Genomic DNA, 23,571 nt, shown 5'->3' with positions numbered 1-23,571 from the left:
TGTTTTTGTTTTTTGTTTTTTAAGAGACAGTGTCTCACTCTTGTCACCCAGTCTGGAGTGCAGTGGCACAATCATAGCTCACTGCAACCTTGATCTCCTGGGCCAAGCGATCCTCCCACGTCAGCCTCCCGAGTAGCTAGGACTACAGGTACACACCACCATGCCTGGCTAATTTTTAAATTATTTGTAGAGATGAGGTCTTGCTACATTGCCCAGACTAGTCTCGAACTCCTGGCCTCAAGCCATCCTCCCATCTGAGCCTCCCAAAGCACTGGGATTACAGGCATGAGCCATGCCCGGCCTTGGACAAGTTTTAAATTTGTTTGTGTCTCAGTTTTCTCACCTGTGATGTGGGGACATTAATAGCCACCTCACAAGGTTGTAAGGAATAAAGAAGATGAGTGTTGTAAAGCTCTTTGCACAGTTCCTGACATGGAGTAATTGCTCAATAAATGGCTATTGTTATTTATATTTCCAGTCACTCTAATCATGGCTATAACATTCTAATGTTAGTGACTATATATTTACATGGTCTCAGTGATTGTTTGCTTTTATCTGTTCAACCTCTTTAACTCTGTTCAACCTCTGTTCAACCACTTTAACTGAAGACATACAGAGTGATTACCCAGGCATTAATCACCCAGGTACCAGGCACTGAGTTATACCCCATGGACAAAACACCAACTTTCCCCTAAAGGAGCTTAGAATCCAGTAGGGAAGACAAGCCAGTGAGCACACACTTACAAAACACTGTAGAGTATTACATGGGAAAATAGGGAGATAAGCAAGGTTCAGAAGTGCTACAGAGGAGGAGGTAGAGTGTTTCATCTGGAAAGTTTAGGAAAGGATTCATAAAAGACGTGAAGCAAGAGTGGAATTTCACAGGATGAATGTTTGCCAGTAAACAAGGACAATATAAGGGTTTTCCATGCAAAGAAAACAGAATGTGCAATAGTAGAGAGGTGTGGAGGAGCATTATCTATGGGTGCCGGGGAGGGTACATAAGAGGCATGGTTTTGGGAACCAGTTCATGCAGAGTGTTCAGCACCCTTCTGTGGAGACTGAACTGGAAGTGGTAGGCAATTTCTGAAAGTCCTTAAGCAGAGGAGGCCGCCAGTCAGACATGCATTTTAGCAATCTCTTTCTGGCAGCTGTGAAGGGCACTGATCAGAGTAGGAGGGAGACCCAAGGCAGGAGACCAGTTAGAAGGCTGCTGAAATAGCCTTAGCCAGAGACAAGGAGAGACTGAAATAGGCACTGGGAGTGGGGGCAATCTTTTGTGTGTATGTGCTTGTGTTATTTCCTTACTTGTATCAGTCTCTTGCCTCCTCAGTTTTGTAAGCTGCCTAAAAGATCCCTTGATGTCCTTTAAAGTGTTTCCTTGACAGTAAAATTATAGGTACCATATTTCAAATACAAAATGTAGTTGTTCATTGTTTGCTTCTTCCAGAGGTTAGGAGCCTTGCCTGGATGGCCACAGCATCTCCAGCTTCTCCCTTGCTGACTGGCACCCAAAAGGGCTTAGTAATTGGGGTGGCACCAAATTGAATGTTTCTCACCCCACTGCCAGTTGTTGACTCAGCTAGGAAAGGCTTGCACAGAACCAGCCATGCTCTCTCCTCTAAGCCTCTTTCTGACCAGTGAGGTGGCTAGTAGGGGTTAGGGATAGCCATTTCCTCTGTGTGCAGTCTTGTAAGGTGGGGGAAGCATGCCTTGGCCTTTTAAAGACAATGCTAGTGTAGCCAGGTCAATCTCATAACTTCTGAGGCAAAGTATTGGCTTAGTCTCTATCCTTTTGGGAGAATCTCAGAGGTTGCTGATGTGACCGTAATTCCTATTAAAATATTTTCATTTGCAGCTGCCTTAAAAATGGTCAGCACAGTCACTAATAGGCCCTTCTTCTTTACTCTTGCTGGAGATGGCCTGGAGCTTCTCTTACATTCTGGCCACCTAATTTGGATCTTGTAGCACCCTTAGCCCCCACCCGCAGCCCCACCCTGGGAGAAGTTATTGGACAGATCCCAGCAGGCTCAGGCACAGCTCCCTGCCTCTGCAGCTGGGGATATAAATAACCACCAAAGCTAAACAGTCAAATAACCACATTTTGAAAATCGCTAAAAAAAAAAATCACTCTGATCTTGATTCAATAGCAGTTCTTCTCCCACCTCTGCCCTTCATCTCCCCCCCTTCCTCCACTTATCTACCTCCCTTCCCTGATCCAAGCTCCCTAGGGAAGTCAATCTGAGCACAAAGCTGTCTTATGATGAAGACATCCTTTTCCATATTCTATGGGGCCAAAGCCCTCCAGGGCTGTAGTTATAGTTACAAGATGTTGTTATGGCAGCAGAGGCCTCAGGGCAACATATGTTCCACAATGGTAATTGGGTTTTCTTTAACAGACTGTCTCTCCTGGGTTCTCCATGCCCACATTCACTTACCAAGAAGACCAGGGAATTGCCATTATGGATAAACCTTCATTTTTTTATTCCAGCAAAACCAAATTGCTCTATTTGCCGGGGTGGAAAGTACCCGGTCACCATGGGCTGAGACATTTAGACTGCAGGCATTTTCATTTATACATTCAACAAATGTTTATTTAACACCTGATAGGTGCTAGGCATTGGCCAGAAGCTGAATAAGCAGACATGGTCTTTCCTCTCTGTCAATTTAGGACAAGTATGTACAGGAAGGGGCTAGAGGAGCACTTTCACCTGCCCTCAACCCCCTTCCACCATTTCAAAATGATTAACACAGTGTAATAACACTAAATGAAAATTTGAGGAAAATAAAAGACATCCTTAATCTCATTGCCGCCACAAAGGGTTTTTTTTTTTTTTTTTTTTTTGAGACAAAGTCTAGCTCTGTCACCCAGACTGGAGTGCAGTGGCATGATCTCAGCTCACTGCAACCTGTGCCTCCCGGGTTCAAGCGATTCTCCTGCCTCAGCCTCCCAAGTAGCTGGGACTACAGGTGCGTGCCACCATGCCCGGCTTATTTTTCTATCTTTAGTAGAGACAGCATTTCACCATGTTGCCCGGGCTGGTCTCAAACTCGTGGTCTCAAGTGATCTACCCGCTTTGGCCTCCCAAAATGCTCGGATTACAGGCATAAGCCACCATGCCTGGCACAAAGCTTTTTTTTTTTTTTTTTTTTTTTTTGAGACGGAGTCTCTCTCTGTCACCCAGGCTGGAGTGCAGTGGCGCAGTCTTGGCTCACTGCAAGCTCCGCCTCCCAGGTTCATGCCATTTTCCTGCCTCAGCCTCCCGAGTAGCTGGGACTACAGGCGCCCACCACCACACTGGCTAATTTTTTTTTGTATTTTTAGTAGAGACGGGGTTTCATTGTGTTAGCCAGGATGGTCTCGATCTCCTGACCTCGTGATCCGCCCACCTCGGCCTCCCAAAGTGCTGGGATTACAGGCGTGAGCCACCACGCCTGACCCAACTATTTTTATTTTTTGTATATTGCCTTCCATTTTTTCTCCTCATGCATACATTTTATGTGCATATTTTAACATAGATACACTCATTATTTACATGAAATTTTATTTTATTTTTTTGAGACAGGATCTTGCTCTGTTACCCAGGCTGGAGTGCAGTGGCACAATCACCTCTCACTGCAAACTTAACCTCCTGGTTTCAAGCGATCCTCCTGCTCAGCCTTCCAAGTAGCTGTGACTACAGGCACATGCCACCATACCCCGCTAATTTTTTATTTTCTGTAGAGATCGGGGTCTCACTATGTTACCTAGGCTGGTCTCAAACTCTTGAGCTCAAGGGATCCTCCTGCCCCAGCCTCCCAAAATGCTAGGATTACAAGCCTGAGCCACTGTGCCTGGCTGAAATTTTATATTTTGTACATCTTCTCAGCATCTTCTGTGTTTCCCTAGAGTCCTCATAATTGTAACTATACTCACTGTGTGACATTGCACTGTGGTGCTATGATGTAATGTGCTCTCATTCTCCTGTTGTGGAGTTATTAAAGCTCTTTTATGTCAGATAATGCTGCAGTGAGTGTCTGCATGCATCCATAGCTCTCTCCTGTTTTTATTTCTGCCACTTATATATTGCTTCTTTCCTTTCCTTAAAGACTTTCACAATTTACAGTGTCATCATCAGTGCAAGGGTGCCAATTTAAGTCATTGTTTCCAGAACTAAGTGTTACCACTTTTTAAAAATCTTGTCATTTTAATAAAAATGAAAATGGCACCCCAAATGTGCTTTCGATTTTATTTCTACTGAGGATATACTTCAGTCTTTCATGTGTTTATTTACTAGGTCTGTTTCCTCTTCTGGGAAACCCTATTCATTACTAATTTATCTTGATGATTTTCTTAAGTTTGAGTGAGAGAAAGAGATGCTTTGTCTGAGCTACATTCAGTTATGGGTCAGTGTTACTGTTACTAAGAAGGCAAAACATGGCCAGGCATGGTGGCTCACGCCTGTTATCCCAGCACTTTGGGAGGCCAAGGTTGGGTAGAGTTCGAGACCAGCATGGCCAATATGGTGAAGACCCGTCTCTACTAAAAGCACAAAAATTAGCCGGGCATGGTGGTGGGCACCTATAATCTCAGCTACCTGGGAGTCTGAGACAGGAGAATCGCTTGAACCCGGGAGGCGGAGGTTGCAGCGAGCCGAGATTGTGCCATTCCACTCCAGCCTGGGTGACAGAGCGAAACTCCATCTCAAAAAGAAAAGGCAGAACGTTTGCTTCAGAATCATGTCTTTAGTATTTTCTCCTCACCCTTTCCCCCTGGCATCCCAATTACATCTAGTGGTGAATGCTGTCAAGATCACATACTACTGAAAAAGGGTGAGATTGTAAACAGAATGTGTACATGGCATGGATGAAAGTGGTGAGGAGAGGCTGGGCGCGGTAGCTCACGCCTGTAGTCCCAGCACTTTTCGGAGGCTGAGACAGGCAGATCACTTGAGGCCAGGAGTTCAAGACCAGCCTGCCCAACATGGGAAAACCCCATCTGTACTAAAAATACAAAAAATTACTGGTGGACCTGTAGTCCCAGTTACTTGGGAGGCTAAGGTGGGAGGATTGCTTGAGCCCAGGAGGCGGCGGTTTCAGTTAGCCAAGATCACGCCACTGCCCTTACCCCAGCATGTGTGGAGGGGCCATTATAAAAGCCCTAGTCAGTCTTGCCCACTATAAGAACCATGAAGATGATTCTGTAGACACTACTTTCCTGGTGACCTGGGAGAAACTAAAAAGTTTCCCAAACTAGTCAACCTCAGGAGGATAAAAAAATGACACTGCATTTTGCCATTTGTAAAATGTGGGTCTTTTTATTTGTTGGGAGATGCTTTCCCAGGCATAGGGGCTAGGAACGGGTTCCTCTGAGTCATTTATACATGTTTGCCCAATCTCCCTTGTGATTAACTGTACCCAAATATGAATCAACTGACCAATGGGAGGGGTATAAGCCACAACTAGGAAACACATTTTCTCTATTTAAGGCAAACTAGCCCATACATAGTTCAGACCCACATCCTTGGACATCTTAGTCTTGCTCTTGCCAACTGAGGTTACTGAGCCCAATCCAATCTCAGAAGTTAAGAACGATTTTCTTGCTAGTCTGGAAATTACATGAGGATGAGTGGACATCCAGTCATTGTATTATGTGCCTAGCCTTGCCAGCAGATGTCACTACACCAAACCACATTTTCCAAAGATATGACTGGAAGGAAAGGACTGGCTTTAGAAAGGCTGAGTCCAACAATTGTGACCCTCTTCTCCAATGGCTTCCATTAATACCCCTGGAAAACTATCAAGGATATGTATATATCCATGGTTCCCAACAGTCCTGAGGCCTAAACTTAGCAGGTCAAGACCCAAGTCTCTGGGCAGAGTCAGAGTTCTTATCCAGGGACCTTCTCCAGATTGGGTGGGGAGCACAGCTGCTGTAGGAAGGGCGGCAGGCCATTTAAATGGGGGGTACACATGATAGAGTTATCTAGGAAAAAGAGCCATAGTCTTGGGGCTGTTCCAAATGTCATGCAGAGCTGAGATCTCAGGCAAAGCACTCCACCCACCCTCCACCCTGCCCCTTTGTCCACATGGGTGGGGGCTATCCCTTGCCTGAGGGCTGTAGGCTAGGGCTGATCCATGGGTTCTGGGGGCTCCCCAGTGACAGCCAGGCATAGCCACACCATGTCAGGATGCTGGGAAGTTCCTAGCAGCTTAGACCGTCATGACTGTTCTCCTTCCAGACAACTGTAAGTAGCATTAGTAATCTGGGAGAAAGAACCATTGGCAGCTCTTCTTTAAAGACCTTCATTCCATGTGCCTATCCATGGAGGGGTAAAGACAGAAATCCTTCCCTGGCCTTCAGTGTCCTGCCTGGTCTGTCTTCTGGCTAACTCTTCAGGCCCATCTCACACAAACCTGCTTCCTTCTCAGTGCCGCAGCTTCACTGGCCTTCCTGCAATTCCTTAGGAGTGTGCAGGTTTCTTCCTTCTCAGGACCTTTGCACATGCTCTTTACTCTGCCTGGAATGTTCTTCCCCCATATTCTTCTTTGCCTATTTTCACTAATCCTTCAGATCTCAGCTCAAATACCATTTTCTCAGGAAACCTTTTCCTGAACCCTCCAGGCTAGATCAAGGCCCCCACTGCCATGCTCTTATTGCACACTGTGCTTTTCTTCATAGCACTTGTCTCAGTTTGTAATTATACATTTATGTGTGTGTTATTTGGATTCTTTACTTTCTGTCTCCCCAACACACACCCCAGACTGTAAGTTCCATGAGGGCAGTGTCCATTTTACTTACCATTGCATTCTCAGGACCTGGCAGAGTGCATGGCACTTAGTAGGCATTCAATAACTATTGGATGTATGCATGAATGGCAAGTGGGTAAATGAAGGAAGTTAGAAAACATAGTGTTACTCTTGTACACACATTTATATAGTATTTGCATGTGAAATATAGCGCCTAATTCTGGTCACTCTACCTGCAAAGGAAGATATATCAGAGTCGGGGAAAGTAATCTGAATTGATCTAAATGGAGACTACTATACCAGGCAAAATGTTAAAAGATTGTGAAAAGATAGAGGCTGAAATCATGATCCATGTATATGAAAATATAAAGGAGATACATGCAGATTTGTTTTCAAAATCCCAAAAGTCAACACTAAGGGTCATTTTTTAAAAAACAGACTGTGGATTCTCCAGAGGAGGGACCATGTGTTATTTATCTGCATATCTCCAGCACCTAGCATGATGCCTGGCACTTAATAGGGACTCAAGAAATGTGTTCTGAACTATTTTTGTTGTTAGCTTAAAAGAGGTAGACTTGGGTGGAAGGATAAATAAGGTAGTATGCAATTATTCACTTGGGAAACCCCAGAGGCAAAAAAAGAAAAGTATGAATAGGGTCAAGAAGGGTTCCTTTACATGTATAGACAATAGCTACACAATGGACTGTTTCAGGGACATTAGGGCTATTCAAGGCCCATCCGTTGACCTTTTGAGATCACCCTTACGAAGGGCAATTACCATGTGCTCCCACAAAGTGCATCTTCTTCCCGCCAGGAAGGACCAAATTCTAAGCTGTATAAGTCATTGGTCTCACCCTATCCCAGTGCCTCCATGTTATCACCTTCAGTGCCCTCCACTCTTGGGCACAGACCCTGTTGGTCCCTTGGCATATTCTACTCTGTTTCCCACCAGAGAAGGGAAAATCCCGGAAGGTGGTGCCCTTCAATCAGAAGTAAAAATGGCTGCATCTCTCAGGGCAACCAGTGCCTGGGCCTGGTATTCCTGAGCCCACAGCAGGGAGGCCATTAGCCCCGGTCCCAAGAATCCCTGCAACCAGCATCCCTGGCATTTAGCCTTCCATCCCTGGCACTTAACCCCCTGGCCCCATAAGAAGGGACATTTCAAATAGTTTTTCTTGGAGCCATGGAGGGTTCAAAAGAATTCTTGAACATTAAAAAAAAAAATCCTCCAAAAACAGCTATTAAGCTGCTTGGCCTCACTTATTTCTTCCCTCTCCCAGCAGTGTGGAGCTTAAAGAAAAGGTTGAGGATTTGGATGTGTGTCCATTAACCTCATTCCAGCCAGTTCCATAGGTCTCATACAAGATACTACCAGAGTCTCAGGCCCCAGGAGGGATGAAGGCTGCATCCTGTCCCAAAGCTGGGTCTGAAGGAATAGGCATCAAGAAAAGAGATACCTTGACTCTTGTCAGTGGTGCACTGGTGCCTCATGGAAACTAGGCTTGGGGCTTCCCTCTTTGCTTCCCACCCCTCCCCTTCCAGCAGCCTATTAATCACTGAGTATAAAATACTGTCTGGAGGACCCTATTCCCCCACCCCTACCCTGAGGCTCCCTGCCAGGCAGAAGGCTGCAAGCTAAGCAGGGAGAAAAGAGAGAATGGGCGGCAGGCAGGGGTGCCCATCATTTATCAACCAAACACAGCGGCCAGCCACTCTTTCCAGCAGCATTCTGGCAGGCTGGGCAGGCGATGCAGCCAGTGTTTTCTGGCAATGGAGAGCACAGTCCCACAAGAATTCCCCTTATTTGGCTGCCCCACCCAAGAGGTGGGGAGACAGAGTCAAGGAGTGAGTCTTTTTCTCTTTTGAATTTTTGGTGGTTTCAGAATCCACACACGCTTCTGGTCCTGCATGGATTCTTACCTCCTCTTCCACCCTCTTCCGTCAAGTCTCCCCTAGGGCCTCCTCTTGCAGCTTCCCTTTTGACCCCACAAAGAGCTTTCCTACTTTCCCTGGCACACTCTTGAAGTGTCTTAGGAATCCCGGTTCCCTAGCTTTGGCAGGCTTTCTGAAAGGGCAGCGCCAGCCTCCTCCTCCTTTAATCTTCTGGTTTCTCCTTCATGGAAACCCCCCAGCTTTCCCCATCTTGCTCTCCTCCCCCAAAGTAGGAAGCTTGGAGAGAGGGAGTGGATTTGGTCCTAGGCTAGTCCACTGGAGGCAGAGACATAATAGTAAATAATAATCCTTTCGCAGAATAGTTCAACTCCTATACCAGGAGCAGCTAGAAACCTCTAGACGCACCTCCATAATTTCTTAGCATTATAAACAAAATCAGAGCTCTAGAGTCTTTAGGGCTGTGGAAGGTGACAGAGAGGCAGGGGAATGACTGGTCTGGCCTGTATTTCTCACTTGTCTAGGTCTGGGTCTCTCTGACCTAGTCCACTGAGCCCCTCAGTAGTGGTTGTGCACAATCTTTGAAAGCAGTTGGACCTTTCCCTTCTAGCTATATAACCATCAATACATTTTTTAACCTCTCTGTGCTTCAACTTCCTCACCTGTGAAATGGGGATGATTATACCAACTGTATAGGGTAGTCATGAGGATCAAATGAGACCATGTGTGTAAATTGCTTAGCCTGTAGTCAGCGCCCAGCAAGTAGAAGCGCCATTCTTCTGTGCTGTGAAGCAGGGGCACATGGCCGGTTACATCATGGCTGTTGGCTGTGTTACTTCCTTCCTGGAGCCTTGATGTTACTATCTCCACAGGCGTATGAAGGGAGGGGGGTGGTGCTTTTTTGGCATTCCGAGGAATGCAAACCCACCATTGGTTCAGGAATCCCCATGGTTTCTCATCAGGAGAAGAATTCAGAATTGGGTGTACAGGGCCAAGAAATTGACAGGATTGGTATCTAAACCCTAACTCAACATTCTGGGCAAATACCCAGGAGGCCAGAGAGTTGGACAGAGCTTTTGGGTGGGACTTCCAGGGAAGGTGCCAACTTGTGTGATATTATCAGAGTGGCAAGGAAGAAGCAAGGCCAAGCTGCTTCCTACCCCAGCAGAATACAGGCTACTTTGTAGACTACCAGGCCTTTGCCAAAGTTGAATGGAAGCAGGGGTCACAGAGGCCACTGGTGGAATGTACTGGAACATTCCAGGCCCTTCCGCTGCACAACACAACTCCTCGAGGCATTGAACCATCAGGGGCTTCCAGAATTGGGTACAAGTTCCTCACCTTCAACCATGCACAGCAGGAGAAACCGCCTGCCGAAAGGAGCACTGTTCTAAGAGCCACTAAGTTACTAAGTGGGAGGAGTGTCAGTCAGCCCTTTGGGACTTTTTCATCAGCTAGAGAGACTGCCAAGGCCATTTTGTTGAGCCAGGGCCGTCTTGTGGAATAGATGTGTTGGGTACAGGAAATCCACAGTAAAAACCAGGAATAGACACCAAATTCAGTCAGGGTTGAAGTGTTGGGTGGGATGTAACTGGGCTTCATTCCTTCCGTCAGAAGTAGATTTACAGTGCCGGGCGCAGTGGCTCATGCCTGTAATCCCAGCACTTTGGGAGGCCTAGGCAGGCAGATCACTTGAGGCCAGGGGTTTGAGATCAGTCTGGCCAACATGGCAAAACCCCGTCTCTACTAAAAATACAAAAATTAGCCGGGCATGGTGGCACATGTCTGTAATCCCATCTACTCAGGAGCTGAGGCAGGAGAATTTCTTGAAACTGGGAGGCAGAGGTTGCAGTGAGCTGAGATCGCGCCACTGCACTCCAGCCTAGGCAACAGAGGGGGGCCAGAGGGTGGGGTGAGAAGTAGATTTACAGTAATGCTAGTGAAACTTAGGGAGTCAGAGCCCATTACTCGCACAGACCCCTTCCAAGGCACTGTACCTAATTCTATGTGTATAATTTTTTAAACTCTTTTACTTAATGAGGAACCCCCAAAGTAATTTTTTTTTAAGAAGAAACATCAGACCTCACAAAATCTGGAGCCTTTCCCACTATCAGCCTGCAGGACCGTTAGCATCAACTTTCAGGAGTGGATCAGGAATATTAGTTGGAGAAACAGTCAAATACTTAAATAACAAACACTGACTCAACATTGCTGGATGCACTAGCTTGTGCTAGTTGCTGACAAGGAATACCAGAGTTGACAGAGCACGGTGGCTCACGCCTGTAATCCCAGCACTTTGGGAGGCTGAGGCGGGCAGATCACGAGGTCAGGAGTTTGAGCCCATCCTGGCCAACATGGTGAAACCCCGTCTCTACTAAAAATACAAAAATTAGCTGGGCATGATGGTGCGAGCCTGTAGTCCCAGCTACTCGGGAGGCTGAGACAGGAGAATCGCTTGAACCCAGGAGGCAGAGGTTGCAGTGAGCTGAGATCACGCCATTGCGCTCCAGCCTGCATGACAGAGCGAGACTCCGTCTCAAAAAAAAAAAAAAGACCAGCCTGGGCAGTATGACAAAACCATGCCTCTACAAAAAATACAAAAATTAGCCAGGTGTGGCGACTGCCTGTAGTCCCAGCTACTCCGGAGGCTGAGGTGGGAGGAGGATTGCTTGAGCCTGGGAAGTCGAGGCTGCAGTGAGCTATGATTGCACCTCTGCACTTAAGCCTGGGTAACAGAGAGAGAGTGAGACTATCTCAAAAAAGAAAAAGAAATACCAGAGTTAATGAGTTCCTTTGCTTTCAGCTGTGGAGAAAAGACAACCATATTTAAAATGACTTGGAGAAATTATAAAGCTACCTTAAGGCTAGGCGCAGTGGCTCACGCCTGTAATCCCAGCACTTTGGGAGGCCAAGGCGGGCAGATTGCCTGAGGTCGGGAATTTGACACCAACCTGACCAACATGGAAAAATCCCATCTCTACTAAAAATACAAAAATTAGCTGGGCGTGGTGGCGCATGCCTGTAATCCCAGCTATTCGGGAGGCTGAGGCAGGAGAATCGCTTGAACCAGGGTGGTGGAGGTTACAGTGAGCCGAGATCGTGCCATTACACTCCAGCCTGGGCAACAAGAATGAAACTCAGTCGCCAGAAAAAAAAAAAAGCTACCTTAAGCTACTACAAAATTATTATGGGCTACAAACTGAACACCTAAGTCCTGAAAGAATTAGTAGCTGATAAGGGTAGATGAGGAACACTTGGAGAAAGCGAGGTCTAATTTGAAGCTAAAGTAAATGATGGTGAAGATGGAGTTGCAGGGCAGGGTGATATCTCATTGACCAAGGCACAGAAAATAAAATTTAATAAGAATCTGTGGTGATATTTTGTAGTTATGTACAACAATTTATATCTACAATATAAATGATATTTTTCTTTCTTTTTTTTTTTTTTTTTGGTTGGAGTCTTGCTCTGCTGCCCAGGCTGGAGTGCAGTGGTGTGATCTCGGCTCACTACAACTTCCGTCTCCCGGGTTCAAGAGATTCTCCTGCCTCAGCCTCCTGAGTAGCTGGGATTACAGGTGTGTGCCACTACGCCTGGCTAATTTTTTGTTTTGTTTTGAGACAGTCTCACTCTGTCGCCCAGGCTGGAGTGCAGTGGTGTGATCTCGGCTCACTACAACCTCCGCCTCCCAGGTTCAAGCAATTCTCTGCCTCAGCCTCCCAGGTAGCTGGGATTATAGGCGCCCACCACCACGCCTGGCTAATTTTTTGTATTTTTAGTAGAGACGGGGTTTCACCATGTTGGCCAGGCTGGTCTTGAATTCCTGACCTTGTGATCCACTCGCCTCAGCCTCCCAAAGTGCTGGGATTACAGTTGTGAGCCACCACGCCCGGCCAATTTTTGTATTTTTTAGTAGAGACGGGGTTTCACCATGTTGGTCAGGCTGGTCTTGAACTCTTGACCTCGTGATCCTCCTGCCTTGGCTTCCCAAAGTGCTGGGATGACAGGCATGAGCCACCGCGCCTGGCCATAAATGATATTTTTCAACTCTGAAAATAAGCTCTGGGGCCTATGCCCTGGGTCTAAAGGAAATCAGACCATAGACCACTTTTCAAATTACTCATCTCTTCTGTTATATTTTCATATCTTTGAACTGGATTTTTTTTTTTGACAGAGTCTCACTGTATTGTCCAGGCTGGAGTGCAGTGGCATGATCTCGGCTCACTGCAGCCTCTCCCTCCCAGGTTCAGGCGATTCTCCTGCCTCAGCCTCCCAACTAGCTGGGACTACAGGTGCCCACCACCACACCCGGCTAATTTTTTTCTATTTTTAGTAGAGATGGGGTTTCACCGTGTTAGCCAGGATGGTCTCGATCTTCTGACCTCGTAATCCACCCGCCTCAGCCTCCCAAAGTGCTGAGATTACAGGCGTGAGTCACTGCGCCCGGCCAACACCTGGCTAATTTTTGAATTTTTAGTAGAGACAGGGTTTCACTATGTTGGCCAGGCTGGTCTTGAACTCCTGACCTTGTGATCCACCCACCTAGACCTCTCAAAGTGCTAGGATTACAGGCATGAGCCACCGCACCCAGCTTGAACTGGATTTTGATGATACTTTTTTTTTTTTTGAGGTGGAGTTTCCCTCAGTTGCCCAGGCTAGAATGTAGTGACACAAAATTAGCTTGCTGCAGCCTTGATCTCCTGGGTTAAGCAATCCTCCCACCTCAGCCTCCCAAATAACTGGGACTACAGGTATGCCCCACCATACCTGGCTAATTTTTTAAATTTTTACTAGAGACCAGGTCTCACTGTATCATCCAGGCTGGTCTCAAACTCCTGAGCTCAAGTACTCCTCCCACCTCAGCTTCCCAAATTGCTGGGATTACAGGTGTGAGCCACCGTACCTGGCCCTTTTGATGATACTTGTTGCCTGATTTGGTGCATGGTGTGAAGGGAAGGGAGTGGGAGTGGATGTAGAATCAGGTGGAGAGTGTCAAAGATATATTGTAGCTTATTTGCCCCCAGGGACAATTGTAGTTTTGAGGCAGACTTGAAGAAGATAAGTGGGAACAGTGGAGAAGAAAGAAATCTAAAGTGGGGCATGAAACAGATCTTTTGGTTTATACACAGTCTCCTGGGAATGTACTCAACCAGCATCCCCTCTCCAGAGACTTTCCTCTGGGAGGGGGTGCCTAGGAAAGTCAGGTGTGGAGGATGCAGACTGTTCCTGCTAAGGCACTGCTCTAGAAACCAGCTGGTTTCTCAAGGTACCCACTTGACACAGTGGAACTAGAGTAAACTTTAATTCATTTTTCATGAAGCACCATCTGCATGCCGGTTACAGTGCTAGGTGTTATGGAGAGATGACCAAGACATACCTGCTCTCCTTAGGAAGCTTATATATTTTAGTGCAGGAGGACATTTTTTTTTTTTAATGAGAAATACCAGCCTGGATATTCCATAGTCCAAAGAGCGGCATCTTCTGTCTGTCACAGTAACTCTTTAGGGATATCATAAGGGCAGGTATATTTGTTTCCTAAGACATTCCCCTGAAAAGATTAGCAGGGTCTCCCACACATCATCAATCTCTCAGAGATAAATGTATCTAAATCCTTTTTGTTTTTCAAAACAGCTTGATTGAGGTATAATTTATAAACCATAAAATTCACCCATTACTCATGTATAATTCTATTCTTTATTTATTTATTTATTGAGACAGAGATCTCGCTCTGTTGCCTGGGCCGGAGTGCAGTGGCACAATCTTGGCTCACTGCAACCTCCACCTCCCAGGTTCAAACGATTCTTCTGCCTCAGCCCCCTAGTAGCTGGGATTACAGGCACCTGCCACCACACCCAGCTAATTTTTGTATTTTTAGTAGAGATGGGGGTGTCTCCATGTTGGCCAGGCTGGTCTCGAACTCCTGACCTCAAGTGATTCACCCACCTTGGCCACCCAAAGTGCTGGGATTACAGTCATGAGCCACCATGCCCAGCCTATTTTTATTTTTATTTTTTTGAGACAGGGTCTCACTCTGTCACCCAGGGTGGAGTGCAGTGGTATGATCATGGCTCACTGCAACCTCCACCTCCCAGGCTCAACAGATCTGCCAGCCGCAGCCTTCCGAGGAGTTGGGACTACAGGCGTGCACCACCACACTCGGCTAATTGTTGTATTTTTTGTAGAGACAGGGTTTCACCATGTTAGCCAGGCTGGTCTTGAACTCCTGGATTCAAGTGATCCTCCCACCTTGGCCTCCCAAAGTGGTGTGATTACAGGCGTGAGCCACCACGCCTGGCCGATTCTATTATTTTTAAGTGTATTTATAGAATTGTGCAACCATCACAACATTCTAGCATAGAAACATTCCCATCACCCCAAAGAGTTCGAAAAAGTGTCCATTGGCAGGTAATCCCTGCTCCCACCTCCAGTCCTAGGCAATCACAAATCTGCTTGCTCTCTCTATAAATTTGCGTTTCTGGACATTTCATATACATGGAATCATATAATATGTAGTTCTTTGCGCCTGGCTTCTTTCATTTAGCATAATTTTTTCAAGGTCGATTCATGCTATAGCAAATATCAGTAGCTTGTTCCTTTTTGTTGCTGAAAAGTACTCCATCTAAATCCTTTTTTTTTTTTTTTTTTTTTTGATACAGAGTCTTGCTCTGTCAACCAGGCTGGAGTGCAGTGGCGCGATCTCAGCTCACGGCAACCTCTGCCTCCTGGGTTGAAGCAATTCTCCTGCCTCAGCCTTCTGAGTAATTGGGATTATAGGCACGTACCACCACACCTGGCTAATTTTTGTATTTTTAGTAGAGACAGGGTTTTACCATGTTGGCCAGGCTGGTCTCGAACTCCTGACCTCGTGATCTGCCCACCTTGGCCTCCCAAAGTAGTGGGATTACAGGTGTGAGCCACCATGCCTGGTCCTAAATTCTTTTAGAAGTTATTTATGTTTTGAGGCAGCACTGAACGGGATCCAGAAGTCCTGGTCCTTTGCTTGTCTCTGATTTGCTGAATGGCCTCTGACAAGTCCTCCCCTTGTCTGGGCATCTGTTTCTAGGTCTGTAATGTGAGAGGCTGAATCACATATAGTTTCTACTGTTTCTTCCAATTGTTTGTTTAAAATCTACCTTGTATTTTTCTTAGAGTACCATTAAGTCCAATATTCTAGAGTTTTATTTATTATTTATTTATTTATTTATTTATTTTTTGAGACGGAGTTTCGCTCTGTCGCCCAGGCTGGAGTGCAGTGGCGCGATCTCAGCTCACTGCAAGCTCTGCCTCCTGGGTTCACGCCATTCTCCTGCCTCAGCCTCCCGAGTAGAGTAGCTGGGACTACAGGCGCCCGCCACCATGCCCGGCTAATTTTTTTTGTATTTTTAGTAGAGATGGGGTTTCACCATGTTAGCCAAGATGGTCTCGATCTCCTGACCTCGTGATCCACCTGCTTCGGCCTCCCAAAGCGTTAGGATTACAGGCGTGAGCCACCGCGCCCGGCCTATTCTAAAGTTTTAATGTCTCTGATCCTACATTTACCCTTTACCTGTTTGAAAACTTCCACCATATCATATATTGTCAAGGATGAGAATCTTCATTTTATTTTATTTATTTATTTATTTTTGAGATGGAGTCTTATTCTGTCACCCAGGCTGGAGTGCAGTGGCACGATCTCGGCTTACTGCAGCCTCCGCCTCCCGGGTTCAAGGGATTCTTCTATCTCAGCCTCCCAAGCAGCTGGGACTACAGGCGCGTGCCACCATGGCCAGCTAATTTTTGTATTTTAGTAGAGACGGGGTTTCACCATGTTGGCCAGGCCGGTCTTGAACTCCTGATCTCAAGTGATCTGCCCGCCTCAGCCTCCCAAAGTGCTGGGATTACAGGCATGAGCCACCACACCCAGCCAAGAATCTTCATTTTAAAAGGGCTGCCATTTAGCAAGGAAAGTAGATGGCCACTGAGAGCAAAAGGAGACTGAAGGGGTGAATGTCAGCCAGTCTGAATGAAGAAGGAACAAGTGAGAGAGCTAAGAAGACAGCATGTCGTGGGCCACAGCAAGGGACAAAATGAGTCAGAGAAAGTACTGAAGGTCAAAATCCAGGCCATCTGGCTACCCTGAGAGTAAGAGGGAAGGGACGCAGGGAGAGGGAGGCACCAGAGTGGGAAGAGATGCTGAGGGCTAGGACCCCCCTCCCTACTCTGTTCCCATAACCTCATTCATTCCCTCAACCCTCCTTCCCAATCCCTCTCAGGCTGCTTTGCTCCTTCAGTTCTGACCCCATTTCCTCAGGATCTTGTTCCCTGAGGAGCCAGTCCTGACATTTCAGACAGAGGCTGAGTAAAGGAGGTAGGTCGGAAAGAGACACAGTGTATCTGCGTCATCTTATTTTCTGTTTTATTATTTTGGAACTTGGAGTGGGGAGCAAAGACGTAAGCACTTAGAATTTACTAGGAAGTTCAGAGACCGTCTTCCAGGTACCAAGGAATACCAAGACTTCTCTAGCCCGCTGAATAATTGCTACTGGGTGTCATATTTTGAAGGGTAAAAATGGTGATTTGAAACTCCCATTCTTGTTGGTTCCTGTGGCATAAATGGAGGCACAGGGTGGAATTCAAGGTGCCCTGGATGTAGGCCCAGCGAGGTCCTTCAGGAGTGGAAAGTTCCTCTTGATTCAGTAGCCAGCAGGGTAAGGCTTCCCTGCTGATCCTCTGATCTGCCAGAAGTCCCCACAGCCTTTTGCCCTTGGTAATCTCTTAGACCCTTGCAGCTTTTAAGACTTGAAACCTCATAGGGACTGCTTGGGGAATGGCTATATCTCTGACTTACACCTGTAGGAAAAATAATGCCAATTCTCATTTATTTCTGACATTTAGCTGTGGACATCCCAAGAGCATGCTGCAGTCAACAGCATTTGCTGTTGGAAACCCATAAAGCAAATAAGTCTCTTATAGATTAAAAAAAATTATTGATACACTTAGTATCTATAATCTTCTACTTTTTTTTTTTATTATTATTTTTAGACAGTCTTGCTCTGTCGCCCAGTCTGGAGCGCAGTGGTGCAATCTTGGTTCACTGCAGCCTCCGCCTCCTGGGTTCAAGCAATTCTCTGCCTCAGCCTCCCGAGTAGCTGGGATTACAGGCACCTGCCACCATTCCCGGCTAATTTTTTGTATTTTTAGCAGAGACAGGATTTCACCATCTTGGCCAGGCTGGTCTTGAACTCCTAACCTGGTGATCCACCCACCTCGGCCTCCTAAAGTGCTGGGATTACAGGCGTGAGCCACCACACCCAGCCAATCCTCTACTTTTGATGTTTTTGAATGTCATCCTCTGACCCAAAGTCTCTGAAAGCAGGAACCAGGTCATGTATCCCAAATGAAATAGCATCTAGCCCAGGGCCACTTCTGCATACAGGCTTCAAGGCCTGCTGGCTTGTGAACTTCAGCATAGGGACAATGTCTCTGAACATTATTGTCATTCAGAGCTCAGTGCCTAGCTCAGTGTCTGGCACATAGTGTTCATTTCAATAAATTTGTGATGAGCTAATTAATTAATGGCGATGATGTTGATAAGCATGACAGTAAGGGCAGTGGCAAAGGTTTTGTTGCAAGTTAGATGCTTTGTAATGAATGCAAGTCATCTCCCCTTAGCAGTGCACAGCCTCCCCAAAGCCAAGGCTTCCTTCATTGGAGGAAGCAGACGGATTAATCTTCAGATGTAGTCCTTATCCTCCCATCATGCCCATGCCAGGAGAAGCTATCAGTGATAGAGAAGAGAATAAGAGACAGCTGGTTGGACATGATACCTAGTAAGGAGAGGACCAAATTGTCCTATGCATGCCTCCCTTCTCACTCCTCCAGCTAGGATCAACTTTAGTGTCTTGCCAGCAACTTATCAGGAAAGACCATGACTTTCTGGACTCAGAAGATCCATTTCTTTAGCTATACCACCTCCACTGCCTCTTTTTCTACCGTCCAGGTTCTTAATTTCTGGTACCTTGGCTTTGGAATAAAGTTTAAACACAGTATCCATGGAACCATGCACATTACTCCTCTCTCTGAGGGAAGGAAGCATCTGTACGATAATGTGTCGCCTTATTTTTAGAACAAGTCTGTGAGGTTGATGGAGCAGGGATGATTCTGGCACAGAGAGAGGAAGCCACTTACCCAAAGTGTTTCAAGATTCTCATCCTAGGGCTTTACTTCTAAACACACATTGTCTGGCTCAGCCAATAAAAACCACTCATCATCTCCTAAGATTGAGAATTTACATGTTGAGGGGTCCTAACACAGTATAAGTTGTCAGACAAGAAAAGCTTTCAAAAGACCAACTAGTCTACCTTTTGCCTCTCAGGCAGGACCAATGATCTAGAAGTTGAGTGTTGGTTGGGAAAGCATTGAATCTGGAGTCAAAAGACCAAGGATGTAAGTCCTAGGTCTGCCATTTACTAAGATGATCTTGGGCAAGTCACCTAGCCTCTGTAGGACTTAACCTCCTGAAGAATGAGGACAATAATATCTACATTTTCTGCCTTACATGCCTATTGTGATAATTAAATGAGATAATGTATGTGAAAGCTATAAAACACTAGACAGATGTTAATTTTAACATCTTAATCAGATTTGCATCTTTGGAGACCCTTTATGTAAGATGTGAACAGTAATCCTGTGTTCTTAAGAAAATTTTACACTCATAGAGATCAGGAGCTCAGCTCTGGAGTCAGGCTACCTGGGTAATCTTGGGCATGTTACTGTATTTCTCCCTGAAGTCTCAATGAAGAGGAAATAATACCCATTTCACAAGTGTGGTCTTGAGCAATAAATAAGATAAAGTATGCATGGTACTTAACATGTACCTAGCATGGAGAAAGGAATTCAATGAATATTCGTTGCTACCATTACTGATTTTATTAATGAAGATGTGAGGCAGGGTGGTTCAATATGATGTGTTAGAGATCTGAGCTAGGAATCAAAAGGACTCACTTCTTTGGACTTCAGTTTCACTACTTGTAACATGGTAAGAATCCATGTTTTTCCTTTTCCAGATTGTCATGAGGATTTCTTAAAAGTACATGAAGACTTTGAACTACTTGAAATTGAGGAACAATATAAATGCAAGATATCTTTTTTCAACTGAGTTAATTAATCTTATAAAGACTGAGTTTTTAATCAGTTCATCAATTTTTGTTTATTCTTCTCTGTCTTTGATTAGATTGTCCTCTTCATGGAAAAGTAGTACAGCATTTCTTCAATCAATTAAAAAAACAGTTCAAATGTCAGATCTTGAAGTAAATCCTTCAAAACTGCAAGAGTACACTCTTTGCAAAGAAAACCTTTCTTCGGTATGTTCCATTGCCTCAATTCATTCAGTGTATGTAGGCTAATTTTAATATTCAACCCACTCTTGAATTTCCACTTTGGGTATTATCTACTTTCAATATTTAATCCCAGAATGACTTCTCTTTGCCTCACAGCAGGCTCCCAGATTACCTCTTTTTCTCTGATTAGTTAGTATGGCTTCAGGGAATATCTTCTTTTTAACATTAAACTGGGCAAAAACAGAAATAGAAAGAAAAATCTGTAGCAAGATCAAAAATAGAATTCACAGCTAAATATAAATCTGGAGGGAATTATTCAATTATTTGAATGGTCCCCAATCACAGACAATCCAGGGTTGATTGACTTTTGCTTTTTCCATATGTAGAACAAAATGGTTAACAAATACCAAGAGTAATATTTTTTTTCTTTTGAAGCATAATACTTTTTAATAGTATCTTAAATGTTATTTTCTTTCCCAAATCCCTTTATATTATTATATCATGTGCTTTTCACAACTGCATGCATTCTCTTTGGGGACCTTCCAGTCTCATTCTGACTTGTAAGTCAGAGAGCATTGATCTTGGAAGACCAGGATTTGTTAACGGAGTCGCGGTGCAAACTTGGGCAAGTTTTTCAGTTGCTTTGTTCCTTTCACTCTGCTGAGCTAGACTTGGAGTGGACGACTCTGAAGGGAAATTCCCTGCTTCTTTTCAGAGTCCCAATTTAATTTACAGGCTAGCAATTGTTTTTTTAAGGTTGGATCAACACCAAGTAGGGACTTGGAAACGTGGAGAAAGACAGATGTAAGTGTCACACGAGGCAAGGTCGCCATTAAATACACAAATATAATGCAAATCACATGCAAATGATATGCAAACCTTGCATTAATTTGTAGGATCTTAGTTTGGAGCTTGTAAGTAGCACTGAGATCCTATAAGGATTTAAAACTAATGTTTTTTAGGTTAAATTAAATGTAATACTTTTTGAAGGTATCGCTTTCTCTGTGATTCAGGGACTCAACTGTGTAAAGTTTGACACTGCTCCCTACTCCCGCCCCCAAAAATTATTTCACTAGTGTTTGACTCCAACCTACACCCAGCGCCGCGCCCACTCTCCAGCTCAGCCTGACGTCACGTGACATTATATTTGCATACTACCTGGGACTGGGTGTGACGCTCCCCTATTCTGCGTCTTCTCATTGGTGGCGCTGGAGAACCAGCCCTCTTCTGTACAGGCCAATCAGCAGCCCCTGGGATGTTGGAAAACCGAAGGGGGCGGTGTGAGGGTGGGGTCTTGGCTTGGATCGCTAGGCTCATCGACCAATCATCCTCAGGAAAGGGAAGGCTAAGCTGTGGATTGGCTGGGGTGGAAGGTCTGGGTTTCCGCAGTCCAATGACAGCTCTAGGATGAGGGGGCCGGTCCCCGCCCCGTACAGCAGATAAGCAGCGGCCTCGGGGGTTGGGGGGCTGTGTGAGTCTCGCAGTGGGGCTGAGGCAGGCAGCCGGGAGAGCCATGGCGGGGGCCGCAGCGGGCGGCAGAGGCGGAGGTGCCTGGGGGCCGGGGCGCGGAGGGGCCGGGGGGCTCCGGCGGGGCTGCTCTCCCCCAGCCCCCGCCGGCTCCCCCCGGGCTGGGCTGCAGCCGCTCAGGGCCACGATCCCCTTCCAGCTGCAGCAGCCGCACCAGCGCCGGGACGGGGGTGGCCGTGCAGGTGAGCCGGGCCTGGAGCGGGTGCCGTGGAAGGAGCCATTGGGGGAGGGGGGGCGCGTGACCGCGGGAGGGGGACGGGGAGAAGTGTGAGGGGAAAGTGGATGGGGGCGAGGGAAGAGAAAGGGGGCGTTCAGAGTCTATGAGGGCGGAGGGAGCAAGAGCGAGGAGCCGTGAAACGTGGGGAGCACCGCTGGGACGGAGTGTGCGGGGAGTCGGGTCCCGGAGGTGAGGGGAGGGACCTGGCAGATGGAGGCTGGCTTTGGGGGCGTAACCGAAAAGTGGGCAGAGGTGTCGTGTGGGGTGAGTGGAAGATGCAGGGGGTGGGAGCGAGGCGTGAGGAGGAGTGGCGCGTGGTGGGGGCGCCCCGTGCGGATGGCTGGCGCTGGGAGCAGGAGTCGGTGGGCGCTGGACTATTGCACGGGGAGGGGGAGGGGCATGGAGTAGAGCCCCGTGCAGCCGTGTGTTACTTCTCCAGCTTGAGTTTGGCCCCAGCATCCCTCTCAACTGCGCTGGAGTTCCATTCTCCACCACTTCACGTGCGCTTCCCTTTATGCCACCTCCTGGAACTGATTTCATCTCAGCCCGCTGGACTAAGTTTAACGGCTTTTACCGTGGTGCAAATGCCCAGCTCCCTGCATTCTTCTCCCTGTGTCCCAGAAGTTGTACGTTCCCAGATTCTTGACCTGCTTAATATGGCTGTCTCATTCCAACCATCGTTTGTGTACGAGCGTGTGTGTGTGTGTGTGTGTGTGTGTGTGTGTGTGTGTGTAGCGGGGGGGAGACCTGGGCAGTTTTGCCCCCTACCTTTCTTTCTACTCCCTCCACCCCTCTACCCACCAAGGCTGTTTTGTCCGGGGCATTGCAGCCAACGTGGCAGTGGGGTGAGGGCTACAGTCAAGTGCATGGTGGCAAGTACCCCACTTTCTGAACAGCACTGAAATGGGTTCTTAATAACAGCTTGATGTGGTGGCTGTGGGGAAACTAGGGAGAAGCAAACTTAACCTTGCTTTGATACTCAAATCTGTGAGGATCCCACAAATGCAAGTACTTAGGAAGGGGAAAAGGAACCTACTTGCATGAGGAGGTTGGCAATAAGTTGAAAGTGAGGCTTGCATTTGATTCACACCAGATGTGAAAAGATCATTGCACACTTCCAAAGCCGGAGCCTCTACCAAATGTACAAAAATCATGATTCCTGCCGTCTTAACGGTTAATGACATTCTCTAAACCAGAGTCTCTTGAGCTTCTGATGATTACCAAGCCTAGTTACTGCACATCTCCTTCCTGCTTCTGCAGGGCTATTACAGAAGTAGTAGCTACTACAGGGCTACTCCTTGCTAGGTAGGAATGGGCTTAAGAGGATCTCTGAGATAGAAAGCCCCCAAGTCTTTCTGGACTTTTCACTGTATATGTTAGCATCACATCTTGGGATGCAGAAACTTGGTCAAATCTGGTAGCAAGATGGTGACCAAGTAGTAAAAGTATGTTTAGAATCCGGTGGTGTAGAGTAAGGCAATGCCCAGACTAACTCATGCCTATCATGAGTTATAAAGCAAACCACAAGACTACAAACCTGTTGGTTTTGTTTGGGCTTCCTTGAAACCCCGGGAAGTTGGTAGAACAAGAACCGGAACCTTAGTCACTTTTAGTGGAAAACAACAGAAAGCCTACCTGTATAGTAGCTGGAAACTGATTAGCAATCATTTTAAGATCAGTTATTTTGTGTCTATTATAGAACTAATATTAAAAGGACAATTGCTGGTGGATGCTGTGGAAGGGGGAAGAACGTAGGTTTGGATGTCTGGGTTCATTACATGGCCTGCTCCTTTTATAGAGCCAGAGGCCCTGGGATACTGGTAGAAATGTAGGAAGCTAGAGCTCTGCATAATTTGTCAGGTGATTTAAGGCAAGTTGGGTGGACTCTTGCTT

General features: G+C 46.4%; 1 protein-coding gene across 2 annotated transcripts in view, besides 2 other annotated features; it reads left to right on the top strand.

The window, feature by feature from the left end:
• FAM117A (family with sequence similarity 117 member A) overlaps positions 1-23,571 on the top strand; it is a 78,779-nt gene that overhangs the window by 3,576 nt on the left and 51,632 nt on the right. The window contains exon 1 of one of the 2 annotated variants that reach the window (NM_030802.4): positions 21,404-21,643. The exons of the other annotated variant lie outside the window; for it this stretch is intronic. Within the exon in view, the coding sequence (NP_110429.1) occupies positions 21,448-21,643 (196 nt within the window). The 5' untranslated portion in view covers positions 21,404-21,447. Of the gene's footprint in view, positions 1-21,403; positions 21,644-23,571 lie in introns of those variants that run through there. 2 annotated transcript variants of the gene reach the window in all.
• Positions 21,044-21,403: a silencer, noted in NCBI's record as "silent region_8675". NCBI's record gives its function as "represses an Ori minimal core promoter by ATAC-STARR-seq in GM12878 lymphoblastoid cells {active_cell/tissue: GM12878}" and the evidence as "EXISTENCE:reporter gene assay evidence [ECO:0000049][PMID:35858748]".
• Positions 21,484-21,693: a silencer, noted in NCBI's record as "silent region_8674". NCBI's record gives its function as "represses an Ori minimal core promoter by ATAC-STARR-seq in GM12878 lymphoblastoid cells {active_cell/tissue: GM12878}" and the evidence as "EXISTENCE:reporter gene assay evidence [ECO:0000049][PMID:35858748]".

Source organism: Homo sapiens, chromosome 17, assembly GCF_000001405.40.
Source record: "Homo sapiens chromosome 17, GRCh38.p14 Primary Assembly".
NCBI lineage: Eukaryota > Metazoa > Chordata > Mammalia > Primates > Hominidae > Homo > Homo sapiens.
Note: the sequence above shows the minus strand (reverse complement) of the source record. Positions and strands in the feature narration are given on the sequence as shown.